Consider the following 22,323-nt stretch of genomic DNA (forward strand, 5'->3'; position numbering starts at 1 on the left):
ATTCCTGCCAAGTATAATTAAGATGCTGGGAGAAATGACTCAAAAGAAATATACCTGCCTTTCTCATTCTACTTTGTATTGGCCTTTCTGAACTAAGGTGCTGACTTGAAAATGTTATACTCTTGCTGGAAGTCTGCTTTAACTATCAATACAAATATTCTTCAATCCTTTACAAATACCGATTTTCATGAAGAATAAGATACATTACAACAAAAAATCCTGTAATCTGTATGACCAGGTTAGAACTCCATTTTTTTTTTAATCAAAGACTTGATTTTCACACTTTCTGTGGAATCCTAGCATTTATTATATAGTCTGGGCCATTGTTTCTCCATAATAAGGCCAGATACCTGAGGTCTCATAAAGTCAGAAAAAAAAAACTCAATAAAATTTTTCTTGATTTTATGTAAGTGTGTTAATAAGGGCAGTTCCTATGTGTTGGAGGTTAAAAATGTGAAATGTTAAATTTAAAAATAAAAGTCACAGTGTTGCCAGCCACAATGTGACTGTGTTAATACATAATATCTAACTGGCCTCTTTCTCAAGTACTGACACTGAGTCATCACACTTCACTTACTTTCCCATTTTCCCCTGGAGGGACGTTTCTGTTTTGTCAACCTGGAAAACACATAGTTTGCTGTCATATTGGATTCAGATTTAGTTGGGTATGAAAGTGATACATCAATATTCTAGTATGTGAATTTTCTTTTTATGGGAAGGAAATCTCTTATCTTTGCTTGTTCAGAAAGTCTCAACTCAAAAAAATGAGGCATTCATTTTTATCCTTGTACTGTAGTTTTATGATAGAAACTGTCCTCCTTGTTGTTACATTTATAAGCACCTCCTAAGCTCCTTTTTAGGACAGCTTCAGTGCTCTCTAATTTTTATAATCTATAGTCCAGATCGATCAGAATCTGCTGGACCAAGTGAGGATAAAAATGAATGCATTTCCCAATTCAGTGCAGGATTTGGGATGCCCAGAATTGAAAAACATAGATGTGTTAAGCGGATCTGTTTTAATATCCAGAAAAGTCATCCCTCAGCCTGGGCAAGATGATCTTGTGCTCATTACTTTACTTCCCAGAATGGAGATGATGCATAAACCACAATTTTAATTTGCTTTTTTTTGTGCATGTGTAGAATAAGCGACAAAATTTCAGCGGCTGTGATTATTATAATATTGCCATAAACCTCTCTAATGAAATGCCAGCAATGTTGAGACAGCTTTATTCAGGCATAGGTCAAAATAGCCATGCATATCAGTACAGGGCGATAAATCCTGGACTCCAAACAATAACACTGGGCCAGAAAGGAAGCAGATATTAAGGAAACAATTATTTTATTAATATGCACTTATGTAAGGCACTTTAGACACAGGCAAGGTAGATGATTACATGAGTTAATTAACTAATTAATTTTAGGTCATTTAGAGTATGTAAGGACATATGAAACACATTTTTGTGTCATCAAAAAACTAAGAATCCCTTGTGAGAGGCCTCTTATAGCTATGAGAAGATAACTTGTAATGCAAAGTGATAATTGATAAGTGTAGACAATAAGTGCAATTGGAGTTCAGAGAAGGGACAGATCACTTCCAGACAGATTAACTGAGCTATATTTCATGAAGAATGTGATATTTTAGTTGAATATGCAAATTAAAAGATTAAATGTTTGTCAAGTGCCTATTGCATGCAGTGCCTGCTCCTGAGCTCTGCGTGGGTATCAAGAAAATTTATGTCACAGTCTTGCCCTAGTAAAGTCTATAATGTGGCCAAGAAAATGACTCATAAACATATAAAACACAAATAACAATCAAAGATCTATTTCAAGGCAACGCTAGAAGTGATCATGACAGAAGGCAGTCATGATTAGTTGTGCTCATTAGTTATGCAAACAATTAATTGCTTTAGACATTAGCAAAAGGAGGCACTCACTTCCCTGACCTGTTGGCAGCATTTGACAAAAACAGTGCCTTCTGTCTTCCAGGACTCTACACACTCTTTGTTCTCCCCCTACCACTCTGGCTGCTGCTTTTCAGTCTCCTATGCTGGTTAATCCTCATCTATAAACACTAAAGTAATTGAGGGCTCCGCCTGTGGTCCTCTTCTCTCTTTTGTCCACATTAGCTCTGTTGCAAATCTGATGTAGTTCATGGCTTTAAATCCCATCTACATGCTGGTGATTGGCAAATTTTTATCTCCAGCCTAGACATTTTCCCTGAAGTCCTCCTTTGTTTCTCCAATTCCCCACTCAAATCTCTACTTAATTGTCTACAAGCCATCTCCAATTTAACATGTTCAAAACTGAGTTCCTAATTTCCTCTTTAAAACTTTCTCCCTTGTATTCTATCTCATCTCAGAAAATGGCAGCTCTACCTTCCAGTTGCTCAGGCAAAAATCCCTGGAGTCATCCTTAACTTTTTCTTTCTCTTAATTCCCATATCAGATCGATCAGCAAATTCTTTAGTTCTGCCTTCAAAATTTATCCAGAATTAGACCATGTCTCATCTCCTTTCTTACTTCCACTCTGGTTCAAGAACCTATCAATAACCTCCTGGATTTTTACAACTGTCTTGTGACCCATCTTTCTTCCTCTACCCTGTTTCAACCAAGCAGCCAGAGTGATCCTTTTAAAATATCAGTCAAATTATGTCACTCTTCTACTCAAAACCCTCCAATGACTTCCCCTCTCACTCTGATTAAAACCTAATATACTCATGATGACCTACAAGGTCCTACAGGGGCTGGCCCTCATTCTCACTGATGTCATCTATTTTTACCTTCTGACCTCTTCACTCTTTCTTGAACAAACCAGGAGCACTGCTGTTTCAAGCTCTTTGTTCTTGCTGTTTTCTTTGCCTTGAATGCTCTTCCCCAAAATAACTTCATAGCTTGCTACTTCATGTCCGTCAAGACTTTACTCAGTAAATCCTTCCTTCACCACCTCAATCTATCTTAGACTGGATTCCTCAGAAGCAGAGCCTGATAAAAGGATTTTAGATGGTATTGATTTGGGAGATGATACCCTGAAATAGCAGTAAGGGAACAGGGAAATGAGACAGAGAAAGAAGACAATATAGGGTACATTAATGAGTGGGTTAACTCTGTGGCCAAATAGGGCTCATTTCCCACTGGGAGCTTGGGGAGGCTGTACAGAACACATTGTCCTATGGGAGGAGTATTTACCCTCCTCAATTCCTGTTAGACATTGGCTAAGGGATGCTCCTGGGGGTGTTAATTCCTGGCACTTCTAACCTTGCCTGTGTGTAGGCAGAGCAGGCATCAGCGGTCAGAGAAAGCCTTTAGGTAGAAAATCAGAGATGCTTACACCAGAAGGCCCTTCACATGTCCAAGAATATTCAGAATCAAGGAGATATAAGTAAGGCATTGCCAGTGCTGCAGCCTCCCCAAAATTCCGTATCTTCCTTTTGCTGTTTTTGTTTTATCCCTATAACATTTAACCCTATATTTAATACAATATATTTTCCTTACTTATCTTGTTTACTTTTTTCCTTTATGAATCATGAATTTTGTCTCATTTGTTCACTGCTATATCCCCAGCACCTAATACAGTGCTTTATACATGAGCAGCAATAAATACTTATGGATTGAAAAAGAAATGAGTGGATGAACAACTTCAGGATGGGTAAGTGATCCAGGAAGTCTTAGAGAAGGGATGGGATTTGCACTGAGTAAACATTGGTTAGGTGGAGGCAGGGTCAGGAGAGCAGCCCAGCAGTGGAGAACCACAGGAGCAAGAGTAGGTGAGCTAACATAGGGTAAGTTTAAAAATGAGTTAATTCCTTTTGATAGTAGCAGATGGTCCTTATAAAAATAAAAATAACTGGAGTAAGACGAGATAGGTCTTGTCCAGGCAAACTGTCAGACTGAGGAATTTGAGATCTTTTCTGTAGGCAACTGGGAAGAAACAAATGTTTTAAAACAGAGGAATTTAAACTGTGTTTTAAACCCAATTAAACACGTTTTAGGAAGACTAATCTGAAGTTATTAGTAAGCTGATTTGGGGAAATAGGAAATAAAAATGAGTGTAGAAGCTTTTTCAGAGGCAGAAACTGGGGCCTGATAGAGTTTTACAAAGTGACTAAGAAAAGGCTAATTGAATGTTGGAGATAGTGTGGTTAAGCTATCAAGATCAGGGTTAGGGATGACAGAGGGGAGAGCCTGCATTGACCCTAAGGTCTAGAGTCTGGAATTTAGTGGTACAGCTAATAGATGATGCACCCAAAGACCAGTCCCCACTCCAGGGCTCACGCTTGTTTCCATCATCCTGGGCATACCCAGCAAAATCCAAACTCGGCTGAGTTTTGAGAATCTTCTGGAACTCAGGTGACCTAACATTGATTTGGGCACCTTGGATTTTTGACAAAGGTAGTTGTTCAAAAAAAAGAGACAAGTGAGAAATTTTTAGCAATTTAAAAATGTTCCCAGAACTGGCTCTGCTTCCTAAAATCAGCACTCACTCCTGCTCCCTTCCTTATCCTTATTGTCTGTGGTTCTTGGGATTCATACTGCAGCTTAATGCTGTGGGGAGCATCAGTCTACCTAGTAGTGCAAAGATCCCGCCCTGTCTCCAGATAAGGACTCTGGCAGTCCCATCATTTTACAGATCAATGAACATCTGAAGCACTTGTCTAGTTTGGGAACTGCCTTTAGCAGCTAGCAGTTTGGTCAAAATTCATTCCACAGTTTTCCTAAAAACAACAATAATAGCTACAATATATTGAGTACTTATTAGGAGCCAAGCATTATTCTAAACAACTTGTTTATATTAGTTAATATAATCCTCCCAGCAACTTATGAAGCAGGTTTAAGTGTTCCTAGTTGACTAATGAGGAAACCAAGGAACAAAGAGGTTAAGTAACTTATCCAAAGTCACACAGCTGGAATGTGGCTCCTCCTTGACACCTGCTCACCAGCCAGCTCCTGACCCTCGGGAGGATGGGTGAGGAGAGGTAAGGGAGGGGGAAGGTGTACTTGAACTGGTACCATCATAGACTAGCTTTACATTCTTTGGATTTTCTAGATATAATAATGTGGCACTCTTACAGGTACTTTCCTGGCCTTTTTCAGGCTATTCCCATGATGGTGGTGTTGGGGAGATTCTCTCTTGAAAGCCACTAGATCCAATTGCATCTGTCCCAGTTGGTGATTTGCAACTCTTTCCTGAGCCCCGAGGCATCCAGAGTGTACCTTCATATTCTGCCATTCAGCCTTGCAGGCAGAGTCATAGATATGTTTATACTAGCTTCCACACCTCACAGTGTCTGCAGCTGGTCCATAGGAAGCATTCAAGCATCCCTGACCCCCAAGAACTGTGGGAGTACAGATTCATCCCAACATAGCCATCACTTTCCTACTGCCACAGCTCCTTTAGGTTTCTCAGGTATGAGCTCAACAGAGGTGACTTTGAAACAGTTCACTGAACTTTCCTTTGCAAGTTCTGCATATGGCAAACCATCTCCCGCTCACTTTGGTATCTGATAGCTAAGAAATTGATGCCTCAACTGAAATTCAGGCAGGAGGTGTTTGTTTTTTAACCTTTTTGGTATGTTTACTATCTTCATGGGATTCCATGGAGACATCCTGGGGAAGAAAACATGATATGGACTAGCATAGTATGGGCCATGAAATCAAACAGCTCCTGGAGTGCCATGCGGCAGGAGGCAAAGCAGAAAAGAGGTGCAAAGGCAAGGCCACGAAGAGCCCCATGCCAGAAGAACTGACTTCATGTGTGTGGGGAAGGGAAACCATTGGAAATTTAAACAGTAATGCTTAACTTAGATGTCATGATCAAGTGACATTCCCCAAGGGAAAAAATGTGGGAATTACAGTGGTCAAGTGATTAAATCCTGGAAACACCAGAATTTACAACACAGATGGACTTCATGGATATTTGTTCTATGTTGTACCAGTTTCGTCCGTAATTCCTGTGTTACTACTCAAGTCTACTGTCACACATCTGCCCACCACATCTTTTTGAGCCTTCTGTTTCAGCCTTCTTTTTTCCTTTCATTTATCATCTCTAGGAAATTTTTCTTTTCCTTTCTTTTGCAAAAGCATTTCCTCATTTTTCAAATTATTTTCAGTGAGTTCTAGTTTTTATTGTATTATTGAAGATTAGAACTTTGTAATTGTGTCATTAAGTCTGGAAAAAAATGGGTGTTAATGCTAAGTCATCCCTGATATCAGTAATTTCTTTCAGATATTGGGCCTAAAGGATATGGATGCTTGTTGAAAAAGTTATGAGTATTGCTATAAGCTCTCAGTTTGAGTATGTACAGGAAGAAGAAATAAACACACATGTACACACATTCACACACACCCTCACACAGTGAGTACTCAAGTGATCAAAGCAAAAAATGTTTACCCCATTCATCATGCCCAGCCACAAGCCTTTAAATATAATTTTTTGGCTGACATGGATACATTAAAAAATTATAAATTTTTCCTATAATCTCACTGATTGTTCCAAAAAGTTTCCAAATTACTTTCTCTATATTTCAACAATATAAATCATAGTGTTTAGTCTATGCTTTCTAAACAATTTCTGAAAAGATTACAAAATATACTAGCCCTCCAGCTCAAAAGACCTATTTTTTAGCAGGACTGTTTGTCTTTGGAACATTTCATATAAAATTCAAAGTAGGAAAAGGAAGGCAAGACCACCCCAAACCTCTGCTGAGTAACTTCTTTTCTGCCTGTCCCTGTGTCAAGGCAGAGAAGAGAAACAAAGGCAGAGACCTTTAGTCAACTATTTACCTTTTACTCAAGGATACCAATATAATAACTTTGCTTTTCTATTACTAGTCAAAACAAATTTTCTGTTGGACTTTTTTTTAATTTTAATTTTGATTTTAAGTTCCAGGGCTGTTGGACTTCTTAACTCAGGGACTTCTCGAGTTTGAACCCAGCCTCTTTCTCTGGCTTTGACTGTTGCCTCTGTCCTTCCTCACACACATGCTGAGATTTCTGTTCCAGAACTCCCACTCCCCTTTCTGCAAAGGGACTAACATCTCTGTGGCTAATGTAGGTCTGTCCACATTAGTATCTTCTGGCCTGGAATGTTTTCTGGCAGTTATCAGGTAACTTAAGCATTTATCTGCAAGATTAGTTAAAAGACTTGCTGTATAGCTGTGATATTGATTCAACTCATAGTTTGACTCAATTAGCCAGTTTCAAATCCAGTTTCACAGCAGGAAATTTCACACATACAAATCAGCACTTTTGAGAAGCCTGATGAAATAATGGCTAGTTTACCCTGAAACGCTTTGTAATCTAGAAGCCAACTGTCTCAGTAAATGCCATAGTAATGAGTTAATTATCCTAGCCCAGTGGTTGCTGGGGCTTTCTGCCAACATCCTTTTTTTCCACTTGCTGCAATTTCTATCTCACAAGCAGTCCTCTTCTCAACTTCCTTACTAAAAAATAAAACAAAACCTACTTTATCCTCTCAGAATGTCCCCAGTGAGTCTCCACTTCTCAAATGTTTGGTAACCCATGGCAGCTTTCTTCCACTTCCACCTTACTGCAGTCTCAATATCATTGGGTTTTGATGGCTTCAGCATTAATAATGGATCAATCTAATTTAGAGGATGCATCCAGGCCTCACCAAAATGTTGTGTGTGGAACTGTCCTACAGAAGGAGTAGAGGGCACCAAGGTTCTATTAGACCAAATCAGATGATGGCCAAGGAGAATTTGCCCTATATTAATTCTAATGTAATTACTACATAAGTTCAGAGCCCAGAATTGGGGCCCTATTTGAACCTGGATTTACTGCAAAACTACACCAAATCCAAACACTGAAGACTTTTCTAGAAACAATTTCCAGAGGATGATTTGGTTGGTGGCAATCACCGTGACCCTTGAAAGCAGTGCTGTTTATTTTCTCCCTTCTTCTACAATTGTTGTATTAAATATATATGTCATGCACATATATATGGAATTTTTAAGTTGTGTGATTTTGACCATCAAATTAAGAGCCCAAAAATATAGTTCCAAATTGAGGTCAGAACAGCAATATCCAATTGACAATTTTAAATCCATTGGTTGTCAGAAGAAAAAAGCAATGTTTATTTGTTAATACTTTTTAAAATCCTTTAAAAAATTAATAACTTTAGCTCAGTGATAATCATGAGTGTGAATAAGACTTTAGCTAAGAGCTGATTATAATAATGAAAAGCGTGATCTATCTAGATTTCAAAAATTTATGAATGGTTAAGTACATTACAGTATTTCCACAAAATGTTAAAAATGGTGCAATTGAGGAAAATTACTGACATGAACAGATGTTCATGTTATGTTGTTAAGGCAAAAAAAATTTAAACTATTTGAAGTATATAATTTTTTGTATGGATGTACACACAGACACACAGAGAAAAATAATCTAGAAAAACATATCTGAAAACATTATTAGTGGCTATTTCTGTGTGGTAGAATTACAGGTGACTGTATTTTCTTTCTTTTACTTTCTTTTGTCTACTCATCCTTAATTTTCTACAGTGACATGAACTACTTTTATAATAATAGCCTAATTTATTTTTTCAAACAATGTTTGTTCCTAGACTTCTTTACAGTGTTACTTTTAGAGATGTTAGTGGTTGGGGGTCTGCAGGACACCTAAGAAAGTTTGGTTTTTCCTCCCTGTGATGGGGTTCAGGCCGATTCATCCAGTGCTCATTAAACAGAAGCCTATAAACAGGCATGTCGCAGGTGTAAACTAGAGGAAGATTGGCTTCTGTCAGCAAATTAGCCAGTTATACCAATGGCCAAACTAAGCACCCCAGTGTGCCTTTGCAGATAAAATTAAGGATAAAATTATAAAATATCCATGTAATTGTTTTGAACAACTAGATTGGTAATTTTTTCCCTTTAAACCACTTTTGATCTTTGCATGCTTATTATTCAGAGCCTAGTGAATTGATTACAAAGAATATTCATTTTTGACTCCTACAAGAGTAAATAGATCATGTGCATTGTACAGATTCAATTCAGTTCAAATTTTTAAACTTTTACTGAGTAACTCTGCACATCCCCAGAACCGTGTTAGACACAGTAGAGTACTCATAAAGGCAATTCTTAGAGGAATTCACAGTTTTGTCATAGAGACAGATAAATTAGTAAATATTTCTGATAAATAGAATAGAATGGGCTTCCATATAAGCAGGGAGTAATACAAAGCAAGAGTCATGGAAGTGAGGGAGAAAGAGAGGTTAATTCTAACTAAGGAACAGGAAATGTTTCCTAGAGAAAGTAACATTTTGGCTACAATTAAAAGTGTATTAATCTTCTTTGGGTCATAGATAACAGAAATCAAGTTCAAACTAGCTTAAATAAAAAAGACAGTTTGTCGGCTTATGGAATAAGGATTTCTTGTTTAGGCAAGGCTGGATCCAAGAGTTAACAAGACTTTGCCACCAGGCTTAGCTTTCCTCTTTGTGACTTTTTCACAGACAAGTTCTCCACAAAGATGACTGCCAAAGATAGAAACTTACATACTATTTTTGTCCAGTTAGGCTTCTATTTAAAAAAAAATGCCATAAACTGGGTAACGTAGGCAACAGAAACTTATTTCTCACAGTTCTGGAAGCTGGGAAGTCCCAGATCAAGATGCCAGCAGATTCAGTGTCTGATGAGGGCCCGCTTTCTAGACAGCCATCTTTTAGCTGTAACCTTTTTAATTTGTTGAGTAACCTCCATACTATTTTCCATAATGGCTGTACTAATTTACATTCCTACCAACAGTGTGCAAGAGTTCACTATTCTCCACATCCTCACCAATACTTGTTTTCCTTCATCTTTTTAACAGTAGTCATTCTAACAAGTATGTGGTCATATCTCATTTGATTTTAATTTGCATTTGTCTGATGATAGTGATATTGAGCATTAAATACCTATTGACCACTTTTATGTCTTCTTTTGAGAAATGTCTATTTAGATCCTTTGCCCATTTTTGTAATTTAATTTATTTTTATTTACTTATTTTTAATTTTTATAAATATATAAAACTTGTACATATATGCAGGGTACATGTAATATTTTGATACAAATATACAATGTGCAATGATCAAATCTTAGTAATTGGGATATTCATCCCCTCAAACATTTATCATTTCTTTTTAAAATTTATTTTCAAGGATGGTTTCAGAACATTTATAATTTTGTTTGTGTTGGGACATTCCAAATCTTTTCTTCTAGCTATTTTGAAACATAACAATAAATTATTGTTAACTATAGTCACCCTGTATCTTCTTTCTTTTTTTTTAACTTTTATTTTAAGTTCATGGGTACATGTGCAGGATGTGCAGGTTTGTTATGTAGGTAAACGTGTGTCATGGGGGTTTGTTGTACACATTATTTCATCTCTCAGGTATTAAGCCTAGTATCCATTAGTTTTGCCCATGTTTTAATGGGATTATTTGTTTTCTTACTGAGTAGAGCTCCTTATATATTTTGCATATTAACACCCCTTATCAGATGTGTGGTTTGCAAATGTATTCTCTTGTTTCACAAGTTGTCTCTCAACTCTGATTATTGTTTTCTTTGCTGTGCAGAAGCTTTTAAGTTTGATGGAATACCATTTGTCTATTTTTGGTTTTGTTTCCTGTGATTTGGGGTCATATCCAAAACATAATTGCACAGACCAATGTCATGGAGCTTTTCGCCTGTGTTTTCTTCTGGTAACTTTACAATTTCAGGTCTTACGTTTAAGTCTTCATTTTGAGTTGATTTAGTGTGAGGTAAGGGTCTAGTTTCATTTTTCTGCATGTGGATAGCCAGTTTTTCTAGAACCATGCATTGAAAAGACTGTCCTTTCCCATTGTGTGTTCTTGACATCTTTGCTGAAAATCAATCAACTGTAAAAGTGTGGATTTATTTCTGGGCTCTCTATTCTGTTGCATTGGTGTATGTATCTGTTATTATGCTGGTACCATGCTGTTTTGATTGCTATAGCTTTGTAGTAGATTTTGAAGTCACTGAAAACTACTTAACATTGATAAAAGAATTTGAAGAAGACATGGATAAATGGAAAGATATCTGGTGTTAATGGATTGGAAGAATTAATACTGTTAAAATATCCATTCTACCTAAAGCAATCTATAGACTAAATGCAATTCCTATTAAAATTTCAATGACGTGTTTCATAGAAATAGAAAGACAACCTTAAAATTTATATGCAACCACACAAGACCCTGAAGCGCCAAAGCAACCTTGAGCAAAATGAACAACGCTGGAGGCATCACATTACCTGATTTTAAAACCTAGTAATTATTTAAATGTAATGGGAACTGGCTATTTGAAGTATATCTTGCGATAAGTACTTTTGTAAAGCAATAAATTAAATTGCCAGTTGAAACACTGGCCTTTAATCTAGAACCAGAAATACCATTTGACCCAGCAATCCAATTACTGGGTGTATACCCAAAGGAATATTAATCATTCTACTATAAAGACACATGCACACGTATGTTTACTGCAGCACTGTTTACAATAGCAAAGACATAGAATCAACCCAAATGCCCATCCATGATAGACCGGATAAAGAAAATGTGGTACATATACACCACGGAATACTATGCAGCCATAAAAAGGAATTGGATCATGTCCTTTGCAGAGACATAGATAAAGCTGGAAGCTATCATCCTCTGCAAACTAACAAAGAAACAGAAAACCAAATACGGCATGTTCTCACTCGTAAGTGGGAGCTGAACAATGAGAACTCATGGACACAGAGAGGGGAACAACACACACTAGGGCTGATTAGGGGGTGGGTTGGGAGAGGAGGGAACTTAGAGGATGGGTTAATAGGTGCAGCAAACCACCATGGCACATGTATACCTATGTGACAAACCTGCATGTTATGCACATGTATCCCATTTTTTTCAGAAGAAAATTTTAAAAAAGAAACATTAGCCTTTAATTTTTATGTTTTGTAAGTCTGAATTATTATATATTGACTTGACTTAGAATAGTGTGTACTCAGACTGTCTTTTTTTAAAAAAATGAATTTTAATCCATTTAAAATGTAATTCAACTTAAGCTTTTAGAACATTACCTGTTTCCAGTGAATGATTAATAAATATAAATACATGCTTCCTTGAATTTATATCAGTAATCATAAAATCATCTATCAGTTTTAAAAGTCTACGTGTACCAGACATTTGTTTGTTCCTTGGCATAGCAATGATTGGATATGAATTCATTTTATGATTCACAGAATCCCCATGGGCTCATAGTGATATGGGCGTTTGAAATCAGGCCAATTGATGTTTTAATCCTTTCTGTCCTTCAGGAAGAAGTGGAATTAAAATCTATGTTTTTGTTATTTAGTATTTGTGGCACTAAGCTAAGATTACAGATAAAATGTAGAATTAGATCCTTGCCAAATGGATTCATAATCTAAATTAAACAGATATACAGGAAACTGACCTCGGGAAATAAATTGTAGGAGTGACAAATTGGTGAAAAACTCAGGAACAAACCAAAAAATCTAAACAGAGATAGTAAAGTACTCTATTATTAATATTTCCTGGTAAAGAACGAAGGCATAGAACAAAAAGGCCAATTTCTGAATCCAGTTCTCCCCTGAACTTCTTGCATAAGTTTGAGCATGGCTCCTTTCTTCACCCTGCATTATTTTCTGTATCTTCAAGATGGTTCATCCTTTACAAAGAAGTTGGAGTCATGTATGAAATAATAAACATGAAACACTTCAAGTTTCTCAGAATAAAGTTTCCAGAGCAAAATGAAATAATAACAGGGATACACTGTATGATTTACTGCTGATAGTTTATCTTATAAAGCAAGTAAATTAGGGGCTGAAATTTTATATATTAGAAGGATTTATTTCAAAAATGATTTTAAGAAATATACAATCAGTAAATTTGAACTAAACCAATTTATAAAACTTTGATTCATACACAACTTTTGGAAAACATCTTGCATTATTCAGAGTTATTATACCTTTGTGGATTTAATTAATACCCAACACATAAGGCAATTCTTTAGGATAAGTAATGTGCTAAATCAGTGGTACTCAGAGATATATTACATTTGAGCCATTGATAATAATGAAGTATTATTAAATGACAACTTCATGTTAACTACTTAATAATAAATTATTAAATAATAACAAAAATCCATGTAACTGTTATATGCCTTTTAAATATTTTCTGTGATATTAAATATACTTTCTAATATAGAAATTGAAAATCTTGAACCTCTCTAGATTACAAGCAAAAAACCACATGTGCCATCTCCTATTAAAGTGAATGATCAGTTAAGGAATATTTTGTGACACTGGATTAAAGACCTTAAGAACTAATAGTGGTTACAATGTAATAATTAGTATGGAATTATAGACAATTTCAGAATACATAAAACTAGTTTTTTAAAAGTTGTCTAATCCTATATTGAAATAAACCACTGCATATAATCATATGAATTTGATTACAAATGAGGCTGTGGGTTATCTTGAGGACAGGATGAATGATGGGAAAGTGAAAAATTTCCCAAGATGGTTGAAAGACTTGTATACAGCAAGACCATATTGCATAAAAAATAACTGACATAGTCACCACATTTTGAAAAGGTGCCATGTGAAGTCATGCTTCCACATTCAATGACAGAATATCCTTACCAAAATAATATTGGTATCCAATATGGAGAACAGTGGATGGGACAATGTCAAAAAGGAATGGGATCAAAAGATGAGCAGGTTGCTTTCTTCCTTACCCCTTGAATAGACCCCACACACACCTGAAGAAACTGAGTCTGAAATAATGGAAAAAAGCTGTAGTTGTTGGCCTTTGTCTGCAGAATTCCTCCATGTCTCCCTTTTATATCCCTTGTTCCCAATTCCCCTAATTTCTCGGCACATTTTCTTTAATTGGATTCTCTGTCTCTTTCATTTCCCTAACTTTGCTGAGCTGGTTTTAAGCCAGCAACTCTGATTTTCACTTGTGCTACTCCTCCATGAATTGATTATTGATGAATTAATTATCCACCTATGACCTCATTCACAGTAAGTCATGAGTAAAAGGCACCTACTCCTGTTCCCTGATGTAGCCCAGTAGAGCCTGCACCAATACGGCTGTGGCCTGACCAGTCACTATATGATTATGAAAGGAGATCCAACTTAAACTAAAGGGAATTATTTTGAACAAGATTCATCAAAATCAGAGCACATATCTCACCATATTCAGACAGCTGAGGATAGTTGTCCATCCCTCTACTAACCAATCACTACCTATAACACAGTCTGGATTCTTTCGTAATTCTTGGTACATAGAAGCTTCTCAGAAATTATTTGATGAAAGGATGGATAAATGAATAAATAAATTATTATAAACACTTGCTATAAGATCTAAGAATAATTACACTGGTTGTTAAGGGTGTGCATGAAATAACAAAATATAATGAATCCTTAATTAGTAGAATATATTTAATGATTTCCATTTACATTTATATCAAGAAAAAAAAAGGAAAAAGCAACCCAGCACATCTACTTATCATCACTTTTCAAACATCTGTGGTTTAAAAAACAGCTTTGAAAATCGTTACTTGCCTCGGGTAAGGTCTGACTTCTGCTGTATAAGCAGTAAACTATTCTAAATCCTTACACACTAGTACATATCCTCATAGAGGGCAGTTAATACCAATTAGGCCCAAATCTTCCCATTCTGGTTCTTATAGGAATATATAGATGTATGTTTGATACAAAACATATTCAAAATTTTTTTAAAAAGACAGAAGTAACAGATGCATCATCCCAATTTCTTGGAAAAAAAAACTGCACTCTAGAATTCCTAAATAAGAATGTTAACAGAAATGGTTAATGGAGACAGCATGCGCTGGCATTTAAAATGCTTACTGTTTAGGAGGAGAAAACATCCTAAATACAGTGCTTCTCCATCAGCTCAATGTTTTTTGTTTCTTCAGACTGATAGGCTGGATGTGGATAGCTTGTTTAGCAACATTGAGTCCGTGCATCAGATATCAGCCAAGCTGCTGTCATTGTTGGAAGAGGCCACAACAGACGTGGAACCGGCCATGCAAGTAATTGGTATGTTTATTCTCTTCTCGAGTTCTACAATACAACAGGAAATAATTTTTTAATAACCTCCCTTTGCTTTGGTTTTTTGTTCCTGACTCACCATGCTTCCCAGGAGATATATAAATGCTAAACCCATCTTTGGGCTCATTGTGATTATGCAGACTCTGTGTTTATTTTCAAATGGGTTTATATCCATTTGCTGAAGTCCCTCAGTAGCACAAAACATACCATTTGCTTTTTAATTTCCAATCTTTCAATCTCTTTGCTTTCCAGATGTTCTGTAATTTTTTTTAATGGCTAACACTTACTTGATCCTTAAAGAATTAATTATTTAAATATTCTAATAGCTTTACTGATTTCTCATTACAATGTTTTTTAGATCTTATGCCCATCAATCAATTTTTTTAGATTATAAACTTCTTACCTGAGGAATGTAAAACTATTAAAGGAATGTAAGTTATTAAAAATTTACACAAGTTCTACTTTTTTTCATGCTCTCTTTTTTTCTGTATTATTTACCTTCCAAATATGTTTTTACTGTCAATCAGATATATTTATTTTCTTACTATGGTAGGATTCTCAAAAATAACAACAGAAAATATAATTTGAAAAGTATTGAGCCAAATTTTTATGCTCTCCATTTCTTGGGAATTTCCAAGGGAATATGTGCTATGAATTCCTTAAAGGCAGTTTGCACTTCGAGACATCATACAGTGTCATGTAGGCTAAGAGTTTTTTAAAATTATCGTTTCTCTATTTCACACTTAATATACAATAACTCCTCATTACAAAAGTACTAAAACAATTCAGGAGCACGTAGAGTAACGGTAAAATTTCCTTTCATATATCCCTCCAATGCCACTGCCTTCCCCACAAGTAACCGCTTGTTTGATGTAGATCTTTACTTTGAGATACACACACAAAGACTACACACAAACACTTTATGTCTTTACTGATTATGTCTTTGTTACCTTTTATTTGTTAGAGTTATAAAAATGTCATGGAACTGGTCTTGTTTAATATTTATAGAGAACCAAAGTTTAATGAGGAAAGCTGATCAAAGACATGAAATATAGTGAAAGAAATGACTGGGTAATAAGGCCAGCCCACTCAGAAAGATTTCTTCCACAGATAGGTTTAAATTCAATTGTTCTTTGTGATGAAATGTCCCCAACAAATTGTAAAAATATTTCCTAAAAGAAGAACTCTACTCATTACCACACTAACTCATTAGTGTGAATTCATTGGCTATTCATTTATTAATTCAATCAATGAATAGTTATGAAGTAGCAGCATATTCACAAGATTTGGTACTGTACCACATTGCTTGGTATCAAAAGGTGAAAGGGCTCATTTCTCTCTTTCAAAAACATTCAATCAAACAGCTTCTTGAATTGAAGGTGTGGGTATAATACACCATCAAAGCAGTTTCTACACTACTGCAAACCTTGGAGGATAAAGAAAACATTTCTAGATGGAAACTCCAAGGATTCTTGAAGATGTTATTTGGGCTTAAAGTATAGATTCTATTTCAACAATAGGGTCCATGTTGAGGAGAAGATTCCAAATGGAAATGACAGCATGAAAAACAAGTGTGAAACAAATGCCAAATGCCAAGTGTGTTTAGGAAATGAAGAGTGATCAAGCTGGAGTGAAGGACAGATGTAAGCAAGAAATGAGAAATGAACCTGAAAGTGCAGAGTAGGGACTGGCAGCATTTGGAAATGAAGTTTGGAATTTACTGTACAAGTAATAAAGAGCCATTAAAAGATTTCTGGCAAGGGTGTGATGAGACACAAAAGTTTCTGGAGAGAGAAAGATATGGTAGGTCTGAACAGCATGCAGAGGAGGAACTGAGTCCTAGACTAGTAAATAGGTTGTTATAAGTAATATAGGCATGTGGTAATAAGCATTGAGACTAAGGGAGATACAGTGAAAATTTTTAAAAATGGGGTCATTTCAAGAGAAATGTAGAAGAAAGCATAAACAAGTTGTTGATTCATGTGCTGAAGTCAAAAACAATTCCAGATTTAAGGTGACCATGTATTGTGGTTTGTCTAGAGCATACTGATTTTAGTGTATTACGTAAGCATTCAGTCCACTTTAGCATTTGTCATGGACTTTTCCTTTTTAAAAATTATTATTATTATTAGTTGCATCAGAAGAGGTTTTATAAGACCTTTACATCATACTTCAACTTCTGACACAATCTCTTTTAGTAGAGTGTAATGTGCAGTTAACGGTTCTCACTGTAACACATGGTAAACTCTGAAACATAGTCCATCTCTCGTATGCCAACCTTTTCTAGTCTCAAGGAAAGTTCTATCTTTCTTTGAATTGCCACATGCAGGGAAGTGGCTGATTAAATGATGCTGTTTGGATATGAACAGCTAGAAACTGCTAACTCCTTTCTGTCCTGGTGGTTGTGGATGTGTTGGATGCTGCAGACCCCGCCATCTACTGGGTGTAGCAGCTAGTTGTGTCATGACCCATGCTGGGTGGCCCATGTCATGACCTATGAGAGGCATGAAGCCATCGGGATGCCAGTCAGTGGGGTTAATGGGACACGTTTTTACAGAATAGATGTAAATAAAATATGTATGGAAAATAGGGCCTGAGAAATCATGCTACAGAGTGTCTAGAGGCTCTTGCTATGGTAATTTGGTTACCTATTGCATGTTATAGATTGACAACTCTTTTACAAATTTTTTGGTTATGTTTCATTCTGAAATAAACCTTTTCAGAAGCAAGAATTTAATATATTCATGTTTGTATTAGTCAGTTTTCACACTGCTATAAAGAACTACCTGAGACTGGGTAATTTATGAAGAAAAGAGGTTTAATTGACTCACAGTTCTTCAGGCTTAACAGGAAGCAAGCCTGGGAGGCCTCAGGAAACTTACAATCATGGCAGAAGACAAAGGGGAAGCAAAGACCTTCTCCACACTGTGGCAGGAGAGAGAGAGCACGCCAAGGGGGAAGTGCGATGCACTTTCAAACAACCAGATCTCATGAGAACTCACTCACTATCACAAGAACAGCAAGGGGAAAGTCCACCCCCATGATTCAATCACCTCCCACCAGGCCCCTCCCCCATCACCTGGGGATTACAATTCAAGATGAGACTTGGCAGGGGGGACACAGAGCCAAACCATATCAATGTTTTAGAAAAATTTTGATTTTCTTTATCTCAAGAAAGTTGCTGAGCCTATAACACACAAAATACCATCCATCAAAGGGTCCTCAATGCTATCATTGACCATAGACAATCAGAAGATGGAAATATGCTGAAGCAGCGGCAACATCTATGTCAAAGTTTAGTCATTATTTTTAAAAGACTGTGCTCTAAGCAAGTGATTAAATGCATGCAGCTGCTTAAGGTGTGTTTACATTTCACTGCATGCAGCATGGCTTCTCATTTAGGTCAGACAACAGTTTTCCTAGATTAATTACATTCATTTTTTAATTCTGAGTTTCCTTAGGCCTATGAGAAATATAAAACAATGGTTACTAATGAGTTGACACCGTTAGCAAAAGAGTACTGCAAACAGTTAAATGATGACAGTTTTATATCAATGTGAGCAGATGAATCGAATAATAGTTTCAATAGCAGTTAAAATTTTAAAAATTCAATTCACAGAACCAAAGAAAAGCTTTTAGAAGTTTATCATGTCAATGGTGAATTGTCTGACCTTATTATAAATGCTGTCACTTTAACTTAAAAATTAAACATTGTGACTGCAAATGATAACATAAATACAAATATTAGTGGAGCACAGCATCATAGTAAAACAATGATTTTATTAAAATAAAAATCTATAGAGCAGACGTGTAGTTGAAAATGATTGGTGTATATATGATGAAGTTGTGGAATTTATTAATTGAAGTAAAAACTGTAGTGAAAATTTGCATTTATTTTTATATACACAAAATTAGAGTGAATAACACTACCTGAAGAATAAATTTGATATTGAATTAAAAATAATCTTATGTATGAAACTATACACTCTCTTTCCTGCTGGTCATTAATCAGTCTTTGGAAATGTTTGATTCTTTGAAGCACCACTTTACAAATCAACCAGAGTGTCCTAACATGGCATTGGACTATTTTTGTAAACAAGGCCTCTGAAATTGAATTGCATTTTGTTAAAAATCAGTTGGAAGTCTTTAGTTAAGGTATTCATCAAATGGAGAAAATAACTTCAATTTTTAATCTTTACAAATAACAATTATTAAAAACAAAATTGCAAATAGGAAGACATTGAAATGTATCCCTATGAAAACAAGGAGTAAGTTTAAAAAAAATAAGCAATGAGAGCTCATGTATAAAATATTTAATTTTGAAAGTCCATAATCATGCTTTGGAAAATCTGACTTATGAAGAGAAGCCTTTGATGGAGCTCCTCTTTAGTAGGATAAAGTAATATTCTGTACCAGATTTCACAATCTACATTTGGGAAAATATTCCAAAATTACAAATAGAAACAACTTACTTGGTGAGTTTTATTTTGAAAAAAAGAGAGAGAGAATGAAAGAAAACAATTCAAATGGAAGCAAAAAGATAATGCCTATAAAAATATTTCAGCTCAAATATTTACTTGTTTTAATATGTATAGTAATGAGAGTAAAGCTTCTATTTACCATAATTTCCTCTGAGCTCAATAGATATTTCCTTGCTTATAAAGTATTTTCTCAGTTTTAAATATTATGGTTTACAAATTTCAGTAGTAAAATAAATATGCTGATATTGAATTATAACCCACAGAAATATCAATGAGTTCTTGCTGATATAAATAAATGTGGAGAAAGGACAGCTGTCCATTACAGATTTTAATTAATAAATAGAGAAAGAAGAACGGCTGGGCATGGTGGCTCACACCTGTAATCCCAGCACTTTGGGAGGCTGATGTGGGCGGATCACGAGACCAGCCTGACCAACATGGTGAAACCCTACTCTACTAAAAATGCAAAAATTAGCCGGGCGTGGTGGCACGCACCTGTAGTCCCAGCTACTCAGGAGGCTGAGGCAGGAGAATCGCTTGAACCCAGGAGGTAGAAGTTCCAGTGAGCTGAGATCGTGCCACTGCACTCCAGCCTGGGTGACAGAGCGAGACTCCATCTCAAAAAAAAGAAAAAAGAAGAAAATAGAAAATCAAATTCACATTACATAAACACCACAGTCAACTATTGCAGACAAAATCTACTGGTTGATGCTATGTTTAGTGGGTGAAAGTTAGAGGAGAAATATACTTTTCATAGTCTCAAAACTTTCTCCCCAAGTAATTATTAACCTCAAAGGGAAAGGTGGTAACTTTACATTGAGAAACCTAGCAGAGGCCAGCCACCTTTATCTAGAGATCTAGAGTTAATTTTCCTTCTCTGACAATCGTATTTTGATATGTAAGATGTTAATATTGGTGAAGCTGGGTAAAGAGTATTTGAAAACTATTTGCACTATTTTTTCAACTTTTCTGTAAATCAAAAATTAGTTCAAAATGAAAAATTGAAAACTATGATTTACAGAGAAAACTCAATTGAAGATGTTCATACTTTCAGATTCACTAATCATAGAATTCCAACTTTGAGGAAAATTACAGAAAATTTTATTTAAAAAATTAAGACAATGGGGCCATATTTGAAAAAGAATCAGTTGGAGTCTCATTTTAATATCCTTATCCTTTGTATCTGGGCTGGCCTTGCGACTTGCTTTGATCAATGAAATGAGGCAAAATGATGTTCTACAACAGCATTATCACTTCTGCCTTCTGCTTGTGAGGGGAGAGGCCCAAACTGCCCAGCCATTCAAAGCAACACAGCCAAGGCCTCAGGCTTGAGAGTAAGGTCCTTGTCAGCTGGCCAGCTGGCCCCCAGCCAGTCCACCAACTGACGGGAAACATAGAAGTAAACCCCATCAATGCCAGTTAAATGCTGCCCAATTGTTGACCCATACAATTGTGAGCAAACGAACAGTTATTGTCTTAAGCTTTTAAGTTTTGGAGTGATTCTTTTTTTTCCTGTGGTAATTGCTAACTAATACAGATTAACAGGTGAGAGACTAACTTATTTCAACTCAAATGGTGAGGGAAAACTTGATTTGGAAGTGGTTTTTGAGCTTGCACTTGAAAGATTTAGAAAAGTGGAGATTGGGTGCAAAAGGCTTTCTAAATGAGAAATAGGGTAAAGGCCTCAAAGCAAGAGTACAGGAAATTCTGAAAAAGGATAGCAGCAGCCCTATGTGACTGGAGCATAGTGCCGAGAAGGCCTCTCTGAGCCAAACGTTGTAGACAGACCAAAATGAGTTCACTGGCAATTTCCATTACTAAACCTTTTACCAAAGCACTTTCATTCCATAAGATAAACTGATTGTTGGTGAGATGTTTCCAAAATTATGTTATCACAAATGAAAAGCACAGGTGTCCCATTTCTTTGTCCTTAGATGGCACAAATAAGAGTTTGTGATTCACAGCTGTAGTGCCAAAGGGAGAATTTTCCTGATACCTAGATAAACTATGAAGAAAATTTTACTCAATAATAACACTGGAGTTTGGATAAGGTTTAAGTTTAAACACAGGGGCATATGCTTGCAGATCTGAGAGCTCTGAGGAAGTTGTCTGTACTGTCATGCCAAGATACAAAGTGGATTTTAAAATCTTGACTTAAGCACAGTGTCTAGATAGGAAATGGGTTTTCAATCTTTATAGATGGGAGTATGAAATGTGGCTCTTGTTTCCACTTAGATGGCAGTGTAGAGTTTAAGAACACATGGGTTTTAATATCAGGTTGACTTGGGTTACATCTCGTTTTGTCCTGTTGCTAGATGTGCGATCTTAGGCAAGTTACAAAACCTAATTGAACTTCAGTTTCTTATCTGGAAACTGGAGGCAATAGTACCTATCCCATATGGTTTTTATGAAGATTTGACAAAATTATGTGTACAGAATGATAGCCCAGTGCCTATCCCTAATTAATATCCAATAGATGATGTTATAAATTATTATCCCAAGAATATTAGATTTACTCATCTATTTAAAATGCCTGATTTTTTCTGTATGTAACAAGTGAATAAAATGTGACTTTTTCTTAGAGGTCCTGATCATGTTTTTCAAACAAGTCAGATTTGCTGGATGTGTGTGATTTCTAGATGCTTCCAATATCTATGCATCTTAATGATTCATGGATCTAATATGGTGACATATTTTTTTCTGTGAAGGGAGATTTAACATATCAAGTGTCATTTTCACATTTGGTA

At 35.9% G+C, this 22,323-nt stretch overlaps 1 protein-coding gene across 9 annotated transcripts in view; it reads left to right on the forward strand.

The window, feature by feature from the left end:
- Window positions 1-22,323, forward strand: part of ARHGEF38 (Rho guanine nucleotide exchange factor 38) — a 129,947-nt gene that overhangs the window by 45,805 nt on the left and 61,819 nt on the right. For all 9 annotated transcript variants that reach the window (XR_938749.4, XR_007057934.1, XR_938750.4 and 6 more), the window contains one exon: window positions 14,960-15,083. Coding sequence is in view for 4 of the 9 variants with exons in the window: in NM_001242729.2 (NP_001229658.1) it covers window positions 14,960-15,083 (124 nt within the window). In the remaining 5 variants the exon portion in view is untranslated. The remainder of the gene's footprint in view (window positions 1-14,959; window positions 15,084-22,323) is intronic.

This window comes from Homo sapiens, chromosome 4 (genome assembly GCF_000001405.40).
Source record: "Homo sapiens chromosome 4, GRCh38.p14 Primary Assembly".
Lineage (NCBI taxonomy): Eukaryota > Metazoa > Chordata > Mammalia > Primates > Hominidae > Homo > Homo sapiens.